This window comes from Homo sapiens, chromosome 14, assembly GCF_000001405.40.
Source record: "Homo sapiens chromosome 14, GRCh38.p14 Primary Assembly".
NCBI classification, from domain to species: Eukaryota; Metazoa; Chordata; class Mammalia; order Primates; family Hominidae; genus Homo; species Homo sapiens.
The window spans coordinates 69,400,182-69,423,401 of record NC_000014.9 but is presented as its reverse complement, the minus strand read 5'-3'; the positions used below and the strand labels follow the sequence as shown (position 1 = coordinate 69,423,401).

At 39.6% G+C, this 23,220-nt stretch overlaps 1 protein-coding gene across 8 annotated transcripts in view; it reads right to left on the bottom strand.

The window, feature by feature from the left end:
• The window catches only part of SLC39A9 (solute carrier family 39 member 9), a 64,007-nt gene that overhangs the window by 38,989 nt on the left and 1,798 nt on the right, over positions 1-23,220 (bottom strand). The window lies entirely within an intron of this gene.

Below are 23,220 nucleotides of genomic sequence, written 5' to 3'. Positions count from 1 at the left end.
TGCAAAGATGACCACTGTGCTTATTACTAATGCAAACCTGAAAATAAATGTCCAATAAAGGAGACTGGCTAAATAAACTATAAATTTCATCAGAGTACCACACCACTCAGCCATTAAAAATTAAGAAATAAATATGTTAATGGATATAGGAAGTCACAATATGCTGCTATGAGGAAAAAGCTGATGGCAATCAATATGTATTGATAATCTCATATTTATAAAAAATATTTATAAGTAGAACAAGTTATATTAAACATTAACAATTTTTTACTTAAAATTTATAACTTGCAATATATAAATACATAACTTTTAAAACATTTATAATTTACCTACAATAAACATGTATTACTCATACGATGAAAAAAATGTATTTAGACATCAATGCTAAAATTCTTCTGTGGTTTTAATCCAACTTAATCCTAATTGTCTTCTTTTTAGCCAAGTTTGAGGGACTCCCTCTTGTCATACAAAAAGATTAGGTTTCAAAGTTTCTTGAAGCAGCAGTATACCCTAATATGACTTACTGGGATCTTAGAAGTATGAAAAATGATCTTAAAAACTACAACTAGGTGGGTGGATCACCTGAGGTCAGGAGTTCGAGACCAGCCCGGCCAACATGGTGAAACCCCGTCTCTACAAAAATACAAAAATTAGCTGGGTGTGGTGGTGTGTGCCTGTAATCCCAGCTACTTGGGAGTCTGAGACAGGAGAATCACTTGAACCCAGCAGGTGAAGGTTGCAGTAAGCAGAGATTGCACCACTGCACTCCAGCTTGGGTGACAGAGCAAGATTCCATCTCAAAACAAAACAAAAAAACCGGCAAGGAGAGCCAGGCCCGGTGGTGTGCACCTGTAGTCTCAGCTGCTTGGGTGGTGGAAGCAGAGGATCGTTTAAACCCAGGAGTTCAAGGCTATAGTGTGCTATAATCACATCTGCTATAATCACTGCACTCCCACCTGGGCAACATAGTAAGAGCTGTCTTTAAAAAAATAAAAAATAATAAAAAACTACAAGAAGCCAGGCATGGTAGTACGTACCTGTTGTCCCAGATATGGGGAGGGTGAGGCTATAGTGAGCTATGATCTCACTGAATTATACTCAAGCCTGGGCAACATAAAGAGACCCCATTTTTGAAAATAAACAAAACCACAAGGGAATAATTATATATGTTGTTTATGAAAAAGTTTCAATAATTTAATGGTACATCATGAACTTCATCTGTTTGTTTCTTTTAAGAGGTTAGTTAGCAAACAAGCGGTCCATTCCAAGATGGCCGAATAGGAACAATTCCGGTCTGCAGCTCCCAGTGTGATCGACGCAGAAGACAGGTGATTTCTGCATTTCCAACTGAGGTACCTGGTTCATCTCACTGGGACGGGTTGGACAGTGAGTGCAGCCCAGGGAGGGTGAGCTGAAGCAGGGCGGGGTGACACCTCACCCAGGGAAGCGCAAGGGGTCAGGGGATTTCCCTTTCCTAGCCAAGGGAAGCCATGACAGACTGTACCTGGAAAATCGGGACATTGCCACCCAAATACTGCGCTTTTCCAACAGTCTTAACAAACGGCACACCAGGAGATTATATCCCGCTCCTTGCTTAGCGAGTCCCACACCCATGGAGCCTTATTCACTGCTAGCGCAGCAGTCCAAGATCCAACTTCAAGGAGGCAGCCTGACTGGGGGAGGGGCGTCTGCCATTGCTGAGGCTGGAGTAGGTAAACAAAATGGCCGGGAAGCTCGAACTGGGTAGAGCCCACTGCAGCTCAAGGAGGCCTGCCTGCCTCCGTAGACTCCACCTCTGGGGGCAGGGCATAGCTGAATAAAAGGCAGCAGAAACTTCTGCAGTCTTAAACGTTCCTGACTGATAGCTCTGAAGAGAGCAGTGGTTTTCCCAGAATGGTGTCTGAGCTCTGAGAATAGACAGACTGCCTCCTCAAGTGGGTCTCTGACTCCTGTGTAGCCTAAGTGGGAGATACCTCCCGGTAGGTGCCGACTGACAACTCATACAGCCAGGTGCCCCTCTGAGACGAAGCTTCCAGAGGAAGGATCAGGCAGCAATGTTTGCTGTTCTGCAGCCTCTGCTGGTGATACCAAGGCAAACAGCATCTGGAGTGGACCTCCAGCAAACTCCAACAGACCTGCAGCTGAGGGACCTGACTGTTAGAAGGAAAACTGTTAACAAACAGAAAGGAATAGCATCAACATCAACAAAAAGGACATCCACACCAAAACCCCATCTGTAGGTGACCATCATCAAAGACCAAAGGTAGATAAAACCACAAATACAGGGAGAAACCAGAGCAGAAAAGCTGAAAATTCTAAAAACCAGAGCACCTCTTCTCCTCCAAAGGACTGCAGCTCCTCGCCAGCAATGGATCAAAGCTGGATGGAAATTCCTTTGACAAGTTGACAGAAGTAGGCTTCAGAAGGTCAGTAAAAACAAACTTCTCCAAGCTAAAGGAGGATGTTCAAACCCATCGCAAGGAAGCTTAAAACCTTGAAAAAAGATTAGACGCATGGCTAACGAGAATAAACAATGTAGAGAAGACCTTAAATGACCTGATGTAGCTGAAAACCATGGCATGAGAACTACGTGACACATGCACAAGCTTCAGTAGCTGATTCGATCAAGTGGAAGAAAGTATCAGTGATTGAAGATCAAATTAATGAAATGAAGTGAGAAGTTTAGAGAAAAAAAGAGTAAAAAGAAATGAACAAACCCTCCAATAAATATGGGACTATGTGAAAAGACCAAATCTACGTTTGATTGGTGTACCTGAAAGTGATGGAGAGAATGGAACCAAGCTGGAAAACACTTTTCAGGATATTATCCAGGAGAACTTCCCCAACATAGCAAGGCAGGCCAAAATTCAAATTCAGGAAATACAGAGAATACCACAAAGATACTCCTCGAGAAGAGCAACCCCAGGACACATAATTGTCAGATTCACCAAGGTTGAAATGAAAGAAAAAATGTTAAGGGCAGCCAGAGAGAAAGGTCAGGTTACCCACAAAAGGAAGCCCATCAGACTAACAGCGTATCTCTCAGCAGAAACTCTACAAGCCAGAAGAGAGTGGGGGCCAATATTCAACATTCTCAAAGAAAAGAATTTTCAACCCAGAATTTAATATCCAGCCAAACTAAGCTTAATAAGTGAAGGAGAAATAAAATCCTTTATAGACAAGCAAATGCTGAGAGATTTTGTCACCACCAGGCTTGCCTTACAAGAGCTCCTGAAGGAAGCACTAAACATGGAAAGGAACAACCAGTACCAGCCACTGCAAAAACATAACAAATTGCAAAGACCATCAATGCTAGGAAGAAACTGCACCAACTAACGGGCAAAGCAACCAGCTAACATCATAATGACAGGATCAAATTCACACATAACAATATTAATCTTAAATGTAAATGGGCTCAATGCCCCAATTAAAAGACACAGACTGGCAAATTGAATAAAGAGTTAAGACCCATCAGTGTGCTGTATTCAGGAGACCCATCTCTCATGCAGGGACACACATAGGCTCAAAATAAAGGGATGGAGGAAGATCTACCAAGCAAATGGAAAGCAAAAAAAAGCAGGGGTTGCAATCCTAGTCTCTGATAAAACAGACTTTAAACCAACAAACATCAAAAGAGACAAGGCCATTATATAATGGTAAAGGGATCAATTCAACAAGAAGAGCTAACTATCCTAAACATATATGCACCCAATACAGGAGCACCCGGATTCATAAAGCAAGTCCTTAGAGAACTGCAAAGAGACTGAGACTTCCACACAATAATAATGGGAGGTTTTAACACCCCACTGTCAATATTAGACAGATCAACAAGACAGAAGGTTAACAAGGATATCCAGGACTTGAACTCAACTCTGCACAAAGCCAACCTAATAGACATCTACAGAACTCTCCACCCCAAATCAACAGAATATACATTGTTCTCAGCACCACATTGCACTTATCCCAAAATTGACCACATAGTTGGAAGTAAAGCACTCCTCAGCAAATGTAAAAGAACAGAAATCACAATAAACTGTCTCTCAGACCACACTGCAATCAAACTAGAACTCAGGATTAAGAAATTCACTCAAAACCGCACAACTACATGGAAACTGAACAACTTGCTCCTGAATGACTACTGGGTAAACAACGAAATGAAGGCAGAAATAAAGATGTTCTTTGAAACCAATGAGAACAAAGACACAATGTACCAGAATCTCTGGGACACATTTAAAGCAGTGTGTAGAGGGAAATTTATAGCACTAAATGCCCACAAGAGAAAGCAGGAAAGATCTAAAATTGACACCCTAACATCACAAAAGAACTAGAGAAGCAAGAGCAAACACATTCAAAAGCTAGCAGAAGGCAAGAAATAACTAAGATCAGAGCAGAACTGAAGGACATAGAGATGCAAAAAACCCTTCAAAAAAATCAATGAATCCAGGAGCTGGTTTTTTGAAAACATCAACAAAATTGATAGACCGCTAGCAAGACTAATAAAGAAGAGAGATGAATCAAATAGATGCAATAAAAAATGATAAAGGGGATATCACCACTGATCCCACAGAAATACAAACTACCATCAGAGAATACTATACACACCTCTACGCAAATAAACTAGAAAATCTAGAAGACATGGATAAATTCCTGGACACATACACCCTCCCAAGACTAAACCAGGAAAGAAATTGAATCCCTGAATAGACAAATAACAGGCTCTGAAACTGAGGCAATAATTAATAGCCTACCAACCAAAAAACGTCCAGGACCAGACAGATTCACGGCCGAATTCTAGCAGAGGTACAGATTCACAGCTGAATTCTACCAGAGGTACAAAGAGGAGCTGGTACCATTCCTTCTGAAACCCTATTTCAATCAATAGAAAAAGAGGGAATTCTCTCTAATTCATTTTATGAGGCCAGCATCATCCTGATACCAAAGCCTGGCAGAGACACGACAACAACAAAAAAGAGAATTTTAGACCAATATCCCTGATGAACATCGATGCAAAAATCCTCAGTAAAATACTGAGGATGCAAACCAAATGCAGCAGCACATCAAAAAGCTTATCCACCAAGACCAAGTTGACTTCATCCCTGGGATGCAAGGCTGGTTCAACATACGCAAATCAATAAACATAATCCATCACATAAACAGAACCAAAGACAAAAACCACATGATTATCTCAATAGATGCAGAAAAGGCCTTTGACAAAATTCAACAGCTCTTCATGCTAAAAACTCTCAATAAACTAGGTACTGATGGGACGTACCTCAAAATAATAGCTATTTATGACAAACCCACAGCCAATATCACACTGAATGGGCAAAAACTGGAAGCATTCCCTTTGAAAACTGGCACAAGACAGGGATGCCCTCTCTTACCGTTCCCATTCAACATAGTGTTGGAAGTTCTGGCCAGGACAATTAGGCAAGAGAAAGAAATAAAGGGTATTCAATTAGGAAAAGAGGAAGTCAAATTGTCCTCTTTGCAGATGACATGACTGTATATTTAGAAAACCCATCATCTCAGCCCAAAATCTCCTTAAGCTGATAAGCAACTTCAGCAAAGTCTCAGGATACAAAATCAATGTGCAAAAATCACAAGCATTCCTATACACAAATAACAAGCAGAGAGCCAAATCATGAGTGAACTCTCATTCACAATTGCTACAAAGAGAATAAAATACCTAGGAATCCAAATTACAAGGGATGTGAAGGACCTCTTCAAGGAGAACTACAAACCACTGCTCAACGAAATAAAAGAGAACACAAACAAATGGAAGAACATCCCATGCTCATGGATAGGAAGAATCAATATCATGAAAATGGCCATACTGCCCAAGGTAATTTACAGATTCACTGCCATCCCCATCAAGCTACCAATGACTTTCTTCACAGAATTGGAAAAAACTACTTTAAAGTTCATATAGAACCAAAAAACAGGTCGCATTGCCAAGACAATCCTAAGCAAAAAGAACAAAGCTGGAGGCATCACACTATCTGACTTCCAACTATATTACAAGGCTACAGTAACCAAAACAGCATGGTACTGGTACCAAAACAGAAAGATAGACCAATAGAACAGAACAGAGGTCTCAGAAATAACACCACACATCTACAAACCATCTGATCTTTGACAAGCCTGACAATAACAAGAAATGGGGAAAGGATTCACTATTTAATAAATGGTGCTGGGAAAACTGGCTAGCCATATGTAGAAAGCTGAAACTGGATCCCTTCCTTACACCTTATACAAAAATTAATTCAAGATGGATTAAAGACTTAAATGTTACACCTAAAACCATAAAAACCCTAGAAGAAAACCTAGGCAGTACCATTCAGAACATAGGCATGGGCAAGGACTTCATGACTAAAACACCAAAAGCAATGGCAACAAAAGTCAAAATAGACAAATGGGATCTAATTAAACTAAAGAGCTTCTGCACGGCAAAAGAAACTACCATCAGAGTGAACAGGCAACCTACAGAAGGGGAGAAAATTTTTGCATCTACCCATCTGACAAAGGGCTAATATCCAGAATCTACAAAGAACTTAAACAAATTTACAAGAAAAAATGAAACAACCCCATCAAAAAGTGGGCAAAGGATATGAACAGACATTTCTCAAAAGAAGGCATTTATGCAGCCAACAGACACATGAAAAAATGCTCATCATCACTGGTCATCAGAGAAATGCAAATCAAAACCACAATGAGATACCATCTCACACCAGTTAGAATGGCGATCAATAAAAAGTCAGGAAACAACAGATGCTGGAGAGGATGTGGAGAAATAGGAACGCTTTTACACTGCTGGTGGGAGTGTAAACTAGTTCAACCATTGTGGAAGACAGTGTGGTGATTCCTCAAGGATCTAGAACTAGAAATACCATTTGACCCAGCCATCCCATTACTGGGTATATACCCAAAGTCTTATAAATCATGCTGCTATAAAGACACATGCACACGTATGTTTATTGCAGCACTATTCACAACAGCAAAGACTTGGAACCAACCCAAATGTCCATCAACGATAGACTGGATTAAGAAAATGTGGCACATATACACCATGGAATACTATGCAGCCATGAAAAAGGATGAGTTCACGTCCTTTGTAGGGACATGGATGAAGCTGGAAACCATCATTCTGAGCAAACTATCGGAAAGACAGAAAACCAAACACAGCATGTTCTCACTCATAGGTGGGAACTGATCAATGAGAACACTTGGACACAGGGTGGGGAACATCTCACACCAGGGCCTGTCATGGGGTAACACTTGGACACAGGGTGGGGAACATCACACACCAGGGCCTGTCGTGGGGTGGGGGCTGGGGGAGGGATGGCATTAGGAGAAATACCTAATGTAAATGGCGAGTTAATGGGTGCAGCAAACCAACATGGCACATGTATACATATGTAACAAACCTGCACATTGTGCACATGTACCCTATAACTTAAAAGTATAATAATAATAATAATAAAGAGGTTAGTTAGCAAAAACAGTAGCTCTATTATCTCTGATACATTACTGAACTTCTGACTGAGGGGCTGGGAGCCTAACTAGCTTTTGTAAATATTATCTCTATGGGAAAATAGTTTTTTTTAGCTGAAAGGCTGGTTGAAACATCACTCCCTCCTTGTTTGGAGAGGAAGAAAGGGATCTAGGTATCTATTGAAAAAGGGGAAACTAAAGCTGCAACGTCAACACCAATTAATACTTGCCATATAGCAAGAGAAGAATCCCCCCTGATCCCCAGCACACAGCCAGGTCAACCCTTATACATTCAGAATGGCTACTAGGTACTTGTAAACTGAGAGTATTCCAGTGGTTGGGGTACTGGCTTGGGAGGCAGAACAGACTCCATGACGCTGACAAAGGATTTGTATTTGAAGTAGAAAGAACTTCTACAACTCAATAATAAAAGACAAACAACCAATTAAAAATGGGTAAAACACTGCACAGACACTTCACAAAAGATGTATGAATGGCTAATAAGCCCATGAAAAGGTGCTCAACATCATTTAGTCATCAGAAAAATGTAAATCAAAACTATGCAAGATACCTTTTCATACCCATTAAAATGGCCAAAATTGAAAAGACTGACAACTTTAAATAATTACAAGATATAGAGCAACTGGAAAACTCACACATTGCTGGTGGCAGCATAAAATGGTACAACCACTTTGGAAAATTAGCAGTCCCTTATAAAGTTAAACTAGCATTCCCCTTTTTCATTTCCCCAAAAGAAATGAAAACATATGTCCACAAAAAACTTGTACAAGAATATTCATAGAAGCTACATCAAGAATAGCCACAATCTGGATCAGATGTCCATTGACAGGAGAATGGATAAACAAATTGTGGTATATTTAAACAATGGAATACCACTTGGTAATAAAAAGGAATAAACTGCGGCTACATACAGCACATAAATGAACAAATCTCATAAACATTTTCCTGATGTTTGAGTGAAAGAAGCTTTACACAAAGGAGTATATACTGTATGAATAAATGTATATGAAGTTTAAAAACAGGCCAAACTAATCTATAAAGATTGAAATCAGAACAGTGACTGCCTCTGGTGACCAGTGATGAGAGGGTGGCCACACAGTGGGGATTCACTGGAAAGTGGCATCAGGTTACTTTCTAGAATAACAGATATGTTCTAAATCTTGATTGGGATGTTACATTTGTAAACATTTGCTAAAATTCATCAACCTATATTAAGATCTGTACCTTTCATTCTATAAAATTATCTATTTATAAAAAAATTAACTGGGCAGTAATTTACTTAGCCAGGATTTCTGAAAGGATTCATTTTAGAATATTCAGTTTTAACAAGGCTTCTTTCCTCACGGCAGTTCTCTGAAATCAAGGTCAGAGATCTAATTCGAATACTAAAAGGCCCTTCCAAAAATTTTCCTTAAACAATCTCATCTGCCATTCAGATACTTCTCAAAAATAATTCACCACAATTTTATGTCAGTAACATTATGGGGAAACCAGTGGTGTTCACAATTCTGGATCAACCCACAATTCACTAGGCACTTACCAAGTGCTTCATAATACTCTACCCTAGGGTCACATGAAAAACTACATTGAGATAAGTTTTAAAAGCAGGAAAAGAGTTCGAGACCAGCCTGGCCAGCATGGCGAAACCCTGTCTCTACTAAAAATACAAAACTTAGCCGAGTATGATGGTGCACAACTGTAGTCCCAGCTACTCAGGAGGCTGAGAGAGAATCGCTTGAACCTAGGAGGCGGAGGTTGCAGTGAGCTGAGACTGTGCCACTGCACTCCAGCCTGGGTGACAGAGCGATACCCTCTCTCAAAAAAAAAAAAAAAAAAGAATATGAAATATAAACAGGAGTTTGGTGCAAGTTTTTAGAAAGCCACAGTAAAGGTTTTTATTAATCTTTAGACCCATGTTTTAAAAATAGGGATATTAGCTACCAAAGTTATCAATTCAAATTAAAGAACTGGGAGAAAATATAAAAAATGATTTTCTCTCAATATATAGATGGAGAATCGAAGGCCAAAGATGAGAAGTGATTTGCCCAAGATCACATGACTAAGCTAGTTAGTGGTTACAGGGATGATTAGATTCAGCATTGCACTCCATGACAATGCTCACTGCATAGCATAATACATACAATCCATTATAAAAAAATTTATCTCCAAAAAAGATGATATTCATGCAACCTTTCAAAATAGTATGAATCAGCAAAATCCCTCAGCAACACCGAGAGAAAAAACAAAATCATAAATAGTTGTAATTCTTCTCTATTGACAGTTTCTAATGGTTCATGACAAAATAAAATAAGGACAATACAGTGAGCACATCATAAAGCTTTATTTCTTCAATATAAAGATCTATTTTTTATTCTGAGATTATATCCTACCTAATTTTGGTTATAATGTCCTTTCTTTTAAGAAATGATGGTGACAACAGTTTTTGTTTTTATTTTTAGTGTCCTTACATGGCAAAATTAAAAGGAGGTAATCCTGTATCGATTCTTTGAAAAAAAATTTTTTTTTTTTTTGAGACGGAGTCTCGCTCTGTTGCCCAGGCTGGAGTGCAGTGGCATGATCTTGGCTCACTGCAAGCTCCACCTCCCGGGTTCATGCCATTCTCCTGCCTCAGCCTCCCGAGTAGCTGGGACTACACGTGCCTGCCACCATGCCTGGCTTATTTTTTGTATTTTTAGTAGAGACAGGGTTTCACCATGTTAGCCAGGATGGTCTCGATCTCCTGACCTTGTGATCTGCCTGCCTCGGCCTCCCAAAGTGCTGGGATTACAGGCGTGAGCCACTGCGCCTGGCCGAGTCTTTGAAATTTTAAATATATGACTGATCTATGAAACCCAAAAGCTGGAAAACCCTGATCTAAGTGCAAACATGAAATTATAATGCCATCAAACATTCAGAAACAAAGAATTTGAGTTTGTAGGATGAGACCATCAAGGTAAATCTGAATGAATCATCTAGCTTTGCAGTATTTCCTTCGAAGAAAGGCAGCGTGAGGTAAAACTATTGTATTGTTTTCAGTTCACTTTGAAATTAAGTGCATTTATTTACCAAATGAAGTTAAATATCCACTCAACACTATGTTTACTGTTTGTCCCTGTAACCCCTTCCCCACAAAATTACCAATTCTGTCAGGGCAGAGATCTTTAATTTACTGCTGAATTCTCAATTTATAAGGAAGTATCTGGCACACAGCAGTTTCCCCTAAATATTTATTGAAAGAATGAATTAAATGCCCACCACCAAGCAAAGCACTGGGGACTTGGTACCGGCCACTGGGCTCTGATACAAACAATTACACAAATGTAGCGGAACCTCTTTAGAATATTTGTGCCAGGAAATAGACCTCATATATTCCTTGTAACTATATCAAGAATTTTCAGTGATTAGTTGATTCAGAATTGATAGTTTCACTCAAGGGGCATGCAGATACATTTATTTATTTATTTATTTATTTATTTATTTATTTATTTATTTATTTTTGAGATGGAGTCTTGCTCTGTCGCCCAGGCTGGAGTGCAGTGGCGTGATCTTGGCTCACTGCAAGCTCCGCCTCCCGGGTTCATGCCATTCTCCTGCCTCAGCCTCCTGAGCAGCTGGGACTATAGGCGCCCGCCACCATGCCCGGCTAATTTTTTGTATTTTTAGTAGAGATAGGATTTCACCGTGTTAGCCAGGATGGTCTCGATCTCCTGACCTCGTGATCCACCCGCCTCGGCCTCCCAAAGTGCTGGGATTACAGGCGTGAGTCACTGTGCCCAGCCGGCAAATACATTTAATAAAGGGCCATAGGCTGGGTGCGGTTGCTCATGCCTGTAATCCCAGCACTATGGGAGGTTGAGGCAGGCGGATCACGAGGTCAAGAGATCGAGATAATCCTAGCCAGCATGGTGAAACCCCATCTCTACTAAAAATACAAAAATGAGCTGGGCATGGTGGCATGTGCCTGTAGTCCCAGCTACTCGGGAGGCTGAGGCAGGAGAATCGCTTGAACCTGGGAGGCAGAGGTTGCAGTGAGCCGAGATCCCGCCACTGCACTCCAGCCTGGGCGACAGAGCGAGACTCCGTCTCAAAAAAAAAAAAAAAAAAATTCTTTACCTGATCATTTTAGACTCAATCTGATTTATTTTAAGCGCTAGAATTGTGGCTTCATGTATTTGTATGGCTGTATTCTTTCACACAACTTGGGATTCAATCTCAAGTTGTGTTTATATTAAAGTTAACAAAATGCTGACAGGTTCTTTCTTTTGCTTATGGTAAATCACTAAAAAGTTTATTTAAATGGAGAACTACAAATTCCAAGTGTCATTCAAGATCAAAAGACAGTTCCCAAACCAACAGTTTCTGTCAGTGAAATGAAGTATTTGCTCAGGAGAGGCATGAACTGTGCAATGCCATTGGTTTTATGTTATCTCATTTTAGAAGTTCACAGTTGCAGCCTGACTGAACCAAAGGATCTGCTAGATACATTAATTAAAACAACAGCTTGCACTCTATGCCGTTAACCATCAGCACAAGCTTTGAAGTCAGTTTAATATTTCTTGGCAGACACCAAGGTAATTAAATGGTCTTTCTTTCCCTGCTCACAGAAACAGTCAACAAATTGGTTCACCTAAAGACAAGCCAACAATTTTTAAAGTTTTTTTTTTTTTTTTTTTTTGAGATGGAATCTCACTCTATGACCCAGGCTGGAATGCAGTGGTGTGAACCTGGCTTACTGCGACCTCTACCTTCCAGGTTCAAGCGATTCTCCTGCCTTAGCCTCCTGAGTAGCTGGGATTACAGGCATGTGCCATCATGCCCAGCTAATTTTTGTATTTTTAGTAGAGACAGGGTTTCACCATGTTGACCAGGCAGGTCTCAAACTCCTGACCTCAAGTGATCCACCAGCCTTGGCCTCCCAAAGTACTGGGATTACAGGCATGAGCCACCGCATCCAGTCTTTAAAAGCTTTTGATACGGAAAACATTTTATCTCAATTTTCCTTGTGCCATGCCCATTTTAGTAGTCAAAGTGTCAACTACAGCTTCCTAAAAAAAAAAAAAAATCAAAGGTACATCTCTTATCATAAGATTGATCCCTTCAAAGTTTTAGGCACTGAAGAGATAAAATATCACAGGCTATGAAGTAACTCTTGTTCAGGCAACAAAGTTTTCCCCCATATTCTTACAAACAAACCTGCTTCAAGAAAGAGATATTTCTTAATGTCAATTTAGCCACTACATTATCTGCTGCTAAGTGTTAGTAACAGATAATAAAGAAAACTCAGATCTAATTTGGTTCTTCAAGTCCTTACAGCTGAAACAAGATGCCCAAAAGCTTCCTGGCTCTAAGGAGCAGCTGTGTGAAACAGGACAAGTCTTTAACCTTCCTGGGCTTCATGGCCTCCTCTGTAAGAAGGGGCTACTGCTACTAGTATTATTATTGTGTAGGAGCAGGATATATTAGTGCACTTAGCAGAGTAGGGGTTGTTATTACTTGTCTTCAACATCATCAGTAGCATGCAAAAAAAAGCTTCTAAGCACCTCCACTGCAAGAATAATGAAAGTTCCAGTGAACGAAGTTACAATTCTGCCATGTTGCCAGGGGCATATAAGCTTCCTATTTCCTAACTCATTTGACATCAAGGTTACTTAACACCTTCTAAGGCAGTAATAACAAGCAAGTACTTTATTAATGCCATTTCCTCCAATCTTGGAAAATAAGATTAATTTATTTTTCTTTTTGCATAAAATTCCTTTCTAAACATAAAAGAAATAAATATAAATCCCGTAAGATTGTTTGATGTAACTACAAAGCCAAAACAAACAAAAATCCATTGAAAAATAACCTGGAAAAGCATTGCCAACAAATATATCATTGATACATAAGAGTTCAACTGAACCGAGCAGACTAAAATAGTAAATATACCTTTTCCTCTATGAAATTGGTACAGTTTTAAAAATGAATAATGATAATGTTTGTGAGAATATAGCGTTATTTGCATTTGTTGTAAAAATGCATTTTAAAAAACTGGTAATATAGATTGAGAACCTTCTGAAGAACATTCATGCCCTTTATCCCCATCATTCTATCCCTGAAAAAAATAATCTGAAATACACTCAATGCTTGAGACAAGAAAATATTCATGCAACACTATTATCATGACAAAAATGTAAAAACATATTAAATGCATATTAAGAATTTCTGTACATAATTGAATGTAATGAGGACATTTTTTAAAATGCCCAAGGCAGGGCACAGGGTCCCCTACTGGCAATCCCAGCACTTTGGGAGGCCAAGACAAGACGATTGATTACTTGAGCCCAGGAGTTTGAGACCAGCCTGGGCAACATAGTGAGACCTTGCCTCTAAAAAAATACAAAAATTAGCTGGGCCTGGTGGCACATGCCTGAGTCCCACCTACTAGGGAGGTTGAGGTAGAAGGATCGCTTGGGCCCAGGGTGCGGAGGCTACAGTGAACCAAAACAAACATGCCACTGCACTCTAGCCTGGGTAAGAAAGTGAGACCTTGCCTTAACAACAACAACAACAAATGACTAGAACAAGTTTTTAAGAATAAAGGAAAATGCTTATGATATACTACCAGGTTATAAAAGGGAGAATGTAAATGGTACATATCAACCATAATTAACTATGTTAAAAATGCAAACAAATAGAAAAAAAGAAACAAAAATGTTATTAGTGATTCTAATTGAACAGTTGGATAATAGATAATTTTATTTTCCTTTTATACGTTACCGTATTTTCCAAATTTTCCACAGCGTCTTTTAAAAAATTGTTAATTTAATTAAAGCCTATATAAATAGGGGATTTGTACTTACTAAACTTGAGGCCCAGTTTCCTTATCTACAAGCAGGACAAGAATTCTTCCCTTTCAAGGTTACTGTTAAAATCAACGTAGAACCTGACATATCAGTTGACATGTGTCATTAATTATTATACTATAGTCAAATTAGAGAACATAGTGTCTTTAATGTGAACATAGAGATGTTTTCCCCTCTACTAAGTGATTCTAAACAACTGCACTTTGACGTTGTGTAATAATTCAAAATGTTTTTCTGTCTCTCCCATCCCCACTGCCATGCTGTAACTTACTTCCTCTACTTGCTTGCCCACCCCTTCTACATTCAGAGGGCTTAGAAATCAGGCAGTCTAGAGGCTTGTAGACTCACAAACATGGGTTGTTTGGCCCACGCACTGATACAATATTTGAATAAGTAGCCAAAGGATAAAATTCAGGAGACTTCATATAAAAATCCAGATTTCTAGCTTTGGAAAAATAGGAAGATTTGGTGTCATCAAATGATATGTGCCCTTTAGATGCCCACAGTTCTCACTTCTCCCTAATGACTCCCAGGCACTGACACTGAAGGTCAGCTGCCATATATCATGACACTGGGGCTGTCTTATTTTACTCCAGGCTTAATTCTCTGTTCAGCCTTATTTGATTTTATGATCCATTACCTACCTCTATCAGTCAGGGTCCTTTCATCAAAGAGAAAGCATAAAGTAATTTGAAGAGAGAAAGTTTAACATAAAGAATACCTACAAAAGGGGGCTGGGCATGGTGGCTCATACCTGTAATCCCAGCACTTCCGGAGGCCAAGGCGGGCTGATCAACTGAGGTCAGGAGTTTGAGAACAGCCTGGCCAACATGGCAAAACCCTGTCTCTACCAAAAATACAAAAATTAGCCGGGCGTGTTGGTAGGCAGCCGTAATCTCAGCTACTTGGGAGGCTGAGGCAGGAGAATCACTTGAACCCAAAGAGAGAGGTTGTGGTGAGCCAAGATCATACCACTGCACTCCTGCCTGGGCAACAGAGCAAGACTCCATCTCAAAATAAGAAAGAAAGAAAAAAGGAATACCTATAAAAGCATAAAAGGGGACTAGAATGATGAGGAATTGACTAAGAGAGAACCGTAAAGAATATAATAGCAGGGCCGGGTGCGGTGGCTCATGCCTGTAATCCCAGCACTTTGGGAGGCCGGATTCACCTGAGGTCGGGAGTTCAAGACTAGCCTGACCAACACGGAAAAACCCTGTCTCTACTAAAACTACAAAACTAGCCAGGCATGGTGGCAGGCGCCTGTAATCCCAGCTACTTGGGAGGCTGAGGCAGGAAAATCTCTTGAACCTGAGAGGAGGAGGTTGCAGTGAGCCGAGATCGTGCCATTGCACTCCAGCCTGGGCAACAACAGCAAAATTCTGTCTCAAAATAAAAAAAAAAAGAAAGAAAATTGGCCGGGCGCAGTGGCTCACGCCTGTAATCCCAGCACTTTGGGAGGCCTAGGCGGGCAGACCACCTGAGGTAAGGAGTTTGAGACCAACATGGAGAAACCCTGTCTCTAACTAAAAATACAAAATTAGTGGGGCGTGGTGGTGCATGCCTGTAATCCCAGCTACTTGGGAGGCTGAGGCAGGAGAATCACTTGAACCTGGGAGGCGGAGGTTATGGTGAGTCAAGATCATGCCATTGCAGTCCAGCCTGGGCAACAAGAGTGAAATTTGGAAGGAAGGAAAGAAGAAAGGAAGGAAGAAAGGAAGGAAGGAAGGAAGGAAGGAAGGGAAGGAAGGGAAGGAAGGAAAGGAAAGAAAGGAAGGAAGGAAATTAACGTCAGATAAATACAGGGTTTGCAATAGATAGTTTGATGTAATTATCTATTAGTTACCCTCAAGACCTTTTCATTTAAAAATGAATTTCCATGTAAGAATTTCCAGGGCTGGGTGTGGTGGCTCATGCCTGTAATCCCAGAACTTTGGGAGGCCGAGGCAGGCAGATCTCAAGGCCAGGAGATCCAGATCATCCTGGCTAACATGGTGAAACCTTGTCTCTACTAAAAATACAAAAAATTAGCTGGTTATGGTGGCACGCACCTGTAATCCCATCTACTGGGGGGGCTGAGGCAGGAGAATTGCTTGAACCTGGGAAGGGGAGGTTGCAGTGAGCTGAGATCACGCCACTGCACTCCAGCCTGGGCGACAGAGCAAGACTCCATCTCAAAAAAAAAAAAAAAAAAAACAAAGAATTTCCAGTCTAACTAATATTTATTTCCATTTTATTTCAATAAGTTAAAAACTGAATATTAGTATTCAAGGAAGACTGAGATTTCTGTAATTTCATTATAGGTTTTAAGAAATACCAGTACTCATACTTAGTACTACTACTTTTTTTTTTTTTTTTTAAGACAGTCTCGCTCTGTTGCCCAGGCTGGAGTGCCATGGTACAATCTCAGCTCACTGCAATCTCCGACTCCAAGGTTCAAGCAATTCTCCTGCCTCAGCCTCCCGAGTAGCTGGGATTACAGGCGTGAGCCACTGCGCTCAGCCCAGTGTGGAATTCCATACTGAGCTGAAGGGGATCTTATCATTCAACAAAAGTCTCATCATTAAATTCTTTAATTAGAGGAGAGGTTAAGACTATCATATACAGAAACATTCTGAATCCATTTCATGTCATCTTCTCTTGAAAAGGATGTCACTTCTTGAACAGCACAATTTACGACTAACCTGTGAGGATGTCAAGTGTGAAATTCATCTTGGATAGTTCACAATAGGAACTACTTCAGATTCCAAATTGGCAGGTGTTAATTTAAAAGGCATCTAAGACATATTAACTTATTTCTTATAGGTTTCAATGGTATTTGGAGACTGTTTACCTCTGGAGTTTCAAGTTCTACTCCACTGACTAGGCAGAAAGCATGAGATATACTGTGGAAGGTATGAAAGATGTTCCTAATTTGGGGAGCTAAAGGCATCAATTTAGGTAGATCCTATTTTCATTCCTTCTTTACACAGCATTCATTAGGAAAGGCAACATTTAGTAGTCAAGTGACTGATTTGGCAACAGGAATCAAAATGACTTAGTTCCAAATCACACCTCTACCAGAGTCTGTGACCTCTTCAAGCCTGAGTTTGCTCATTTGTAAAGTGAGGTTTAACAGTATCTCATAGTCTTGGTCCTGAGGATTAATAAGATAGTGCATATCATTGCCTGGTATACAGAAAGAGCTCAATAAACATTATTAATATTATTATGCAGATAAGTCTTAATTATGTTTATCAATATAGTATCCTGGAGAAAACAAAGTTTTTCAGGAAAATAATATTGAATCATATTGCAACCGGATTTTATTTGATCCAAACTTAGTTTTATCAAGGATCCTTATGAAACAATAATCTGTAGTTCAATCTGAGAAAAGACAAGCTGATGATTTCTTTCCAGATATGGATAAATTTACTGAGATTGCAAAGTTTAAAATTTTATAATTTACGTTCATTCATCTGAGACAGGGTCTCACTTGTTGCCCAGGTTGGTCTCAAACTCCTGGCCTCAAGCAAACTTCCAGCTTCAGCCTCCTAAAGCACTGGGATTACAGGTATAAGCCACCATGCCCGGCTCAAATCTTAGAATTTACAAATGAAATTCCAAACAGGTATAAAATCTCTTGTATTACCATAAGAGGGTAAGAGCAATGTACCAGACAATATAAAAGTCCTTAAAAATGTAACATTGTTAAATCTACTTCAAAGAGAACCTATTGTAGAGGCAGAAGCATACTGAATAAATCTGTTCTTCAGACACAATAAACCTTTGATTTGCGGGTAACTCAAACCCCTAAAGATACTTATTATGAATGAGTCAGTTATTATAATCAGACACTGATATGGTTTGGTTGTGTCCCCACCCAAATCTCATCTTGAGTTGTAGTTCCCATGCGAGGGACCTGGTGGGAGGTCATGCTGTTCTTGTGATAGTGAGTTCTTGCTGTTCTTGTGACAGTGAGTTCTCACGAGATCTGATGGTTTTATAAGGGGCTTTCCCCCTTTTGCTCAGCACTTCTCCATCCTGCCGCCCCATGAAGAAGGATGTGTTTGCCTCCTCTTCTGCCATGATTGTAAGTTTCCTTAGGCCTCCCCAGCTATGCTGAATTGTGAGTCAATCAAACCTCTTTCGTTTATAAATTACCCAGTCTCAGAAATGTCTTTATTAGCAGTGTAAGAATGGACTAATACAGACACAAAACTTTAAAACACGAAAGAACAAAACAAAGCTTAAAATGAGAGTAAGTATAATGAAGAAAAGAGAGTTAAATACTAAGAAAAATAGTATAAAGCAGGGAGGGTAGAGGAAAAGCCCTGGCCTCTCCAAATAGAATGGTAAATAGTAATGCAAACCAAACCCCACAACAAGACCTTTGGATTCCAAACAAATTGCCGAGAAGTTTCCATGACTGCGAAGGGGAGGAGGGGGAGGAGCTTCCCATTATTAAGTCTGTTTCCAAATAAAAGGTTTAACAATTATAAATTAGAACAAAGTTATAAAAATGAAAATCTTTACAAGTTTTTCTAATCAGTATTGAGAATCTGCCTCAATATTTTTGAAAGTTTTTATTATGTTCTAGACATAGTGTTAAGCCTGTGCTTATATTATTTCAACCTCACAACAATCCTAGAAGGTCATTTAACAGAAGAGATTTGGATTTTAATAGCTTGTTCAAGTAGTAACATTGACTTTGAATGATACTGTCTCAGACAGTCCCTTTTGAAATCAGTGCATTATTAATCATATTCATCTTTAAAATCATCCTAAGAATAGCACTACTTTCATCTGCCAACTTATGGATTTATGCTGTTGGTTATTTTAGGGAGTAGGTCTCCTTATGTTGCCAGTGGCTATTCACAGGCACACTCATAGCTCACTGCAACCCTGAACTCCTGGGCTCAAGTGATCCTCCCACATCAGCATTTGGAGTAGCTGGGACTAACCAGTGTGTGCCACTACATCCAGTTTTGCTGTTTTTGTTTGTTTGTTTTTTGTTTTTTTGAGAGGGAGTTTTGCTCTTGCTGCCCAGGCTGGAGTGCAATGGCGCAATGTTGGTTCACTGCAACCTCCGCCTCCCAGGTTCAAGCGATTCTCCTGCCTCAGCCCCCCAAGTAGCTGGGATTACAGGCACGTGCCACCACGCCCAAATAATTTTGTATTTTCAGTAGACACAGGGTTTCTCCGTGTTGGTCAGGGTGGTCTCGAACTCCCGACCTCAGATGATTCGCCTGCCTCGGCCTCCCAAAGTGCTGGGATTACAGGCGTGAGCCACCACGCCTGGCCTGCTTTGCTGTTTTAATACATGAAAAATGTGGCATTATAACTCAAACTGGTCTGCAATAAGAAAAGTATGGCAACTGAGATAAAGCCTTCAGAAATTTTTAGAGCAATATGATTATTACAATTATAGTAGTAATTTTTTATCTGTTGAATTTAACAATACATTTGGGCTTGTATTTTCTATGTCTTTTTTTCACTTCATTTTCCTACTATTTCATTTTTATAAGTGTATTGGTATGGATTGAAATAAAAATTAAAAACAAAAACTGATCCTTTACCAGGCAGTTTGAGGAATATTGCTGTAGAGCTCTGAGCCAAAAACAGCTTGCTCTCTGTTACCAGCTCTGTGACAAAGAGGAGACATACTCAGGTGAGTAACAACCCTCAGATAATCAATCTGAAATCCCACTTGAGCCATCTGTTTTTGTATCATAGCTCCATTTATCAACTGCAGCAGCACTGAGTTTATACTAGGTAATATAGGCTCTCAACCTACTTATGTAACATTGTTATTTAGAGCCAAAGAAAACTACTCATTAGCAATTCAATCGAAAAAACATAAGACAGTGTTAACTATAAACCAACGGGTCTCACTCCCTTACCAAACAGGGCTTCCTTTGTGTAAAGCATGCTTTGGCCTCCTTTATTTATTTATTTTTATTTATTTATTTTTATTTTTTTCTGAGACAAAGTTTTGCTCTTGTTCCCCAGGCTGGAGTGCAATGGTGGGACTCGGCTCACTGCAACCTCCGCCTCCTGGGTTCAAGCAATTCTCCTGTCTCAGCCTCCTGAGTAGCTGGGATTACAGGCACATGCCACCACGCCCAGCTAATTTTTGTATTTTTAGTAGAGATGGGGTTTCGCCATGTTGGCCAGGCTGGTCTCGAACTCCTGACCTCAGGTAATCCGCCCACCTCAGCCTCCCAAAGTGCTGGGATTACAGGCGTGAGCCACTTAGCACCTGGCTGGCCTCCTTTAAAAGTTAAAAGTGTTTCTCTTTCCTGTATACTGAAAAAATTTACATCCTGATTATCATAGTTACTTATAATTGCATTTGAGAATCGGATTTTTTTTCCTTTGTTTTATAAATTTTTAAGGCATGAAAGTACAGTTGCCAGGTCAAAGGGCAAGGAAGAAGGCCACAAAAGTATCAAGAAAGGTAGTTTTGGGGTGAGGAGAAACTGACAGAGAAATCAATGTCACATAAACCTCTTGGTGGGCACATCTGGCAGGTAGACCCCACCACTACTGCAATTTCAGACTACCTAATTTTAACTCGTTTTTAAATACTAATCTTGCCATAATTGATCATCTGACTTTTATTCCTGTTCTGAGATATTTTTAGAAAAAGTATTGAATGAGAAAGCAGCAGCAAGATTAAAAACATGAATAAAAAGCATATCTTTTCATGTAAATCAAGCTTGTCCAACTCATGGCTCGTGGGCCGCATGCAACCCAGGAGCACTTTGAATGAAGCCTTACACAAATTCATAAACTTTCTTAAAACATTATGAGTTTTTTTTTGCATTTTTTTTTTTTAGCTCATCACCTATCTTAGTGTTAGTGTATTTTATGTGTGGCTTGAGATAATTCTTCTTCTGATGTGGCCCAGGGAAGCCAAAAGATTGGACACCCCTGATGTAAACGAAAGTGAACTGTAAAACAGTAACACTAGCCTCTAAGAAAGCCAGACTTCCTTAAAAAGGCAAGTCATTTATCCAGTGTAGGAGTTTGGGGAATTATTTTCTAAGGAAAGAAATGGTGCTTTCCAGTCCCCCGTGAATGAAATTTATTTTTACAAATTTACCATCTCACTAGTTTCATTACAACATTGGTCCATAATAATGGCATAATTTACCTAGAAAATATGTTTAGTTCCTAGGAGATAGAAATCCTAGTTGAATTCTAGGATGTCTTTAAGTTATATATAACTTTCATTTTTTATTCTAATAGCTCAAAATGCATTGCATCTACTCTAATAATAAACAGATATTATGAATGCTGATTTTAGCATTTTAAGACCTACAGCTGGAAAAGACCATCTGACCGTCAATTTAAGAAAGCCACAAATGACATGACATACTAATTATCTGTATTAATGACCCAGTTATTAACACCACTCCTGTAAACATTTCCTTCTAGTGAAAAAGGAAATAGTATATATCCGCATATTGCAATAATCATTCAAGGTAGTTTGAAAAAATACTGGAATTGGTAAAGTTAAAGGCATTTTATAGAAATAAAAAGTTTTACTGGTTGCTTATCAGAATTAATTATGATTATTCATAAATGTTACTTCAATATGTTTAAAAATACACAAACCAACCCAAATCTCACACATGTCAGCCCTACTAATGTCAATTCAATTCTAATATAGTTATAAGAAAATATGGTTATGTCAAAGGAAACATAGCAGGTTCACAAAGTACTGGGCAGGCAGGTAACCCAAATAAGTGAAACAGGCTTCAAGGGCAAGGAGGACTGTGCCTAACAGCTGCTACTCAGCCCGACCCAACCTTTGCCTCTAGGAAATACTGGTAAAGAACAACAATAATAAACTTCTGCTAATGGAACAGTCTGCAGGCTGGATTTGGCACACAGGCTACCATGTATATGTACCATGTACCTTTGCCGAAATGCTTAGTGGCTACGAACTAGTCTGAGTCAGAAAAGCTAGACTGAAAAAATACCTCTCTTCTGATTCTAACAAACTTCATGAACCTATCCAGTCTCCGTTTCCTCATCTATATGTCACTGATTTTTATTTTCTTTTTTTTTTTTTTTAAGAGAAAGAGTCTCAATGTTGCCCAGGCCAACTCCTGGGTTCAAGCAATCCTCCTACCTTATCCTCTTGAGTAGCTAGGACTACAGGCGCGCCCCACCGCACCCAGCTTGAGTTTTTTAAGTGAAGTTAGGTAATGCACGTAATTTTTTAAAATGCTATCATTAGATGCTGAGGGGTACAGATTAAAAAGGAAACAGAAAAAGAACAACAACAATTTAAGCATCTGTTCCATCTGGCTATGGGCTTTACTTTTCCTCAAACTGACAACACCTTGTCCCACCTTCTTTCCCACCCACAGGCTATTTTCACCTGTAATGTCTCCTCTTCCTCAGGTTTCTTCAAGGTGTACTTAATATTTCATTTATACCTTTCCTTTCTACTTCAGGCCTCCTTTGAAAGTACTTTCAGGAATGGCACTGAAACTAGGGCCTATTTTACTGCTGAACTCTAGGACAAACTCATGAAATCTTGTTCCCTTTGAATGTAGTAGTTTTTCCCCCCTAAATCTTTGAACGCTGTGCACTTCGTGAATTCCTTTTGCCTACCTAAAGGACCTATCAGCATGTTCACTGAACAGTGCTTTCATCTATCCCTCTTCCCGGGACCCTCGCTTAACATCTGTTCAAGGTGCCAATCAAATTAACGAAAATGTCAAAACGTATTAACCAAAAATTCATTGCTAAGCAAATAGATTTGAAACAACTTCAGAATATCAATTCCAAGGCTCCCCTTCTTTAAAAGGAAATGTGAGTTAAGAACAATCTTAGTTTTTTCTTACATTCATTCTAGTACAGACAT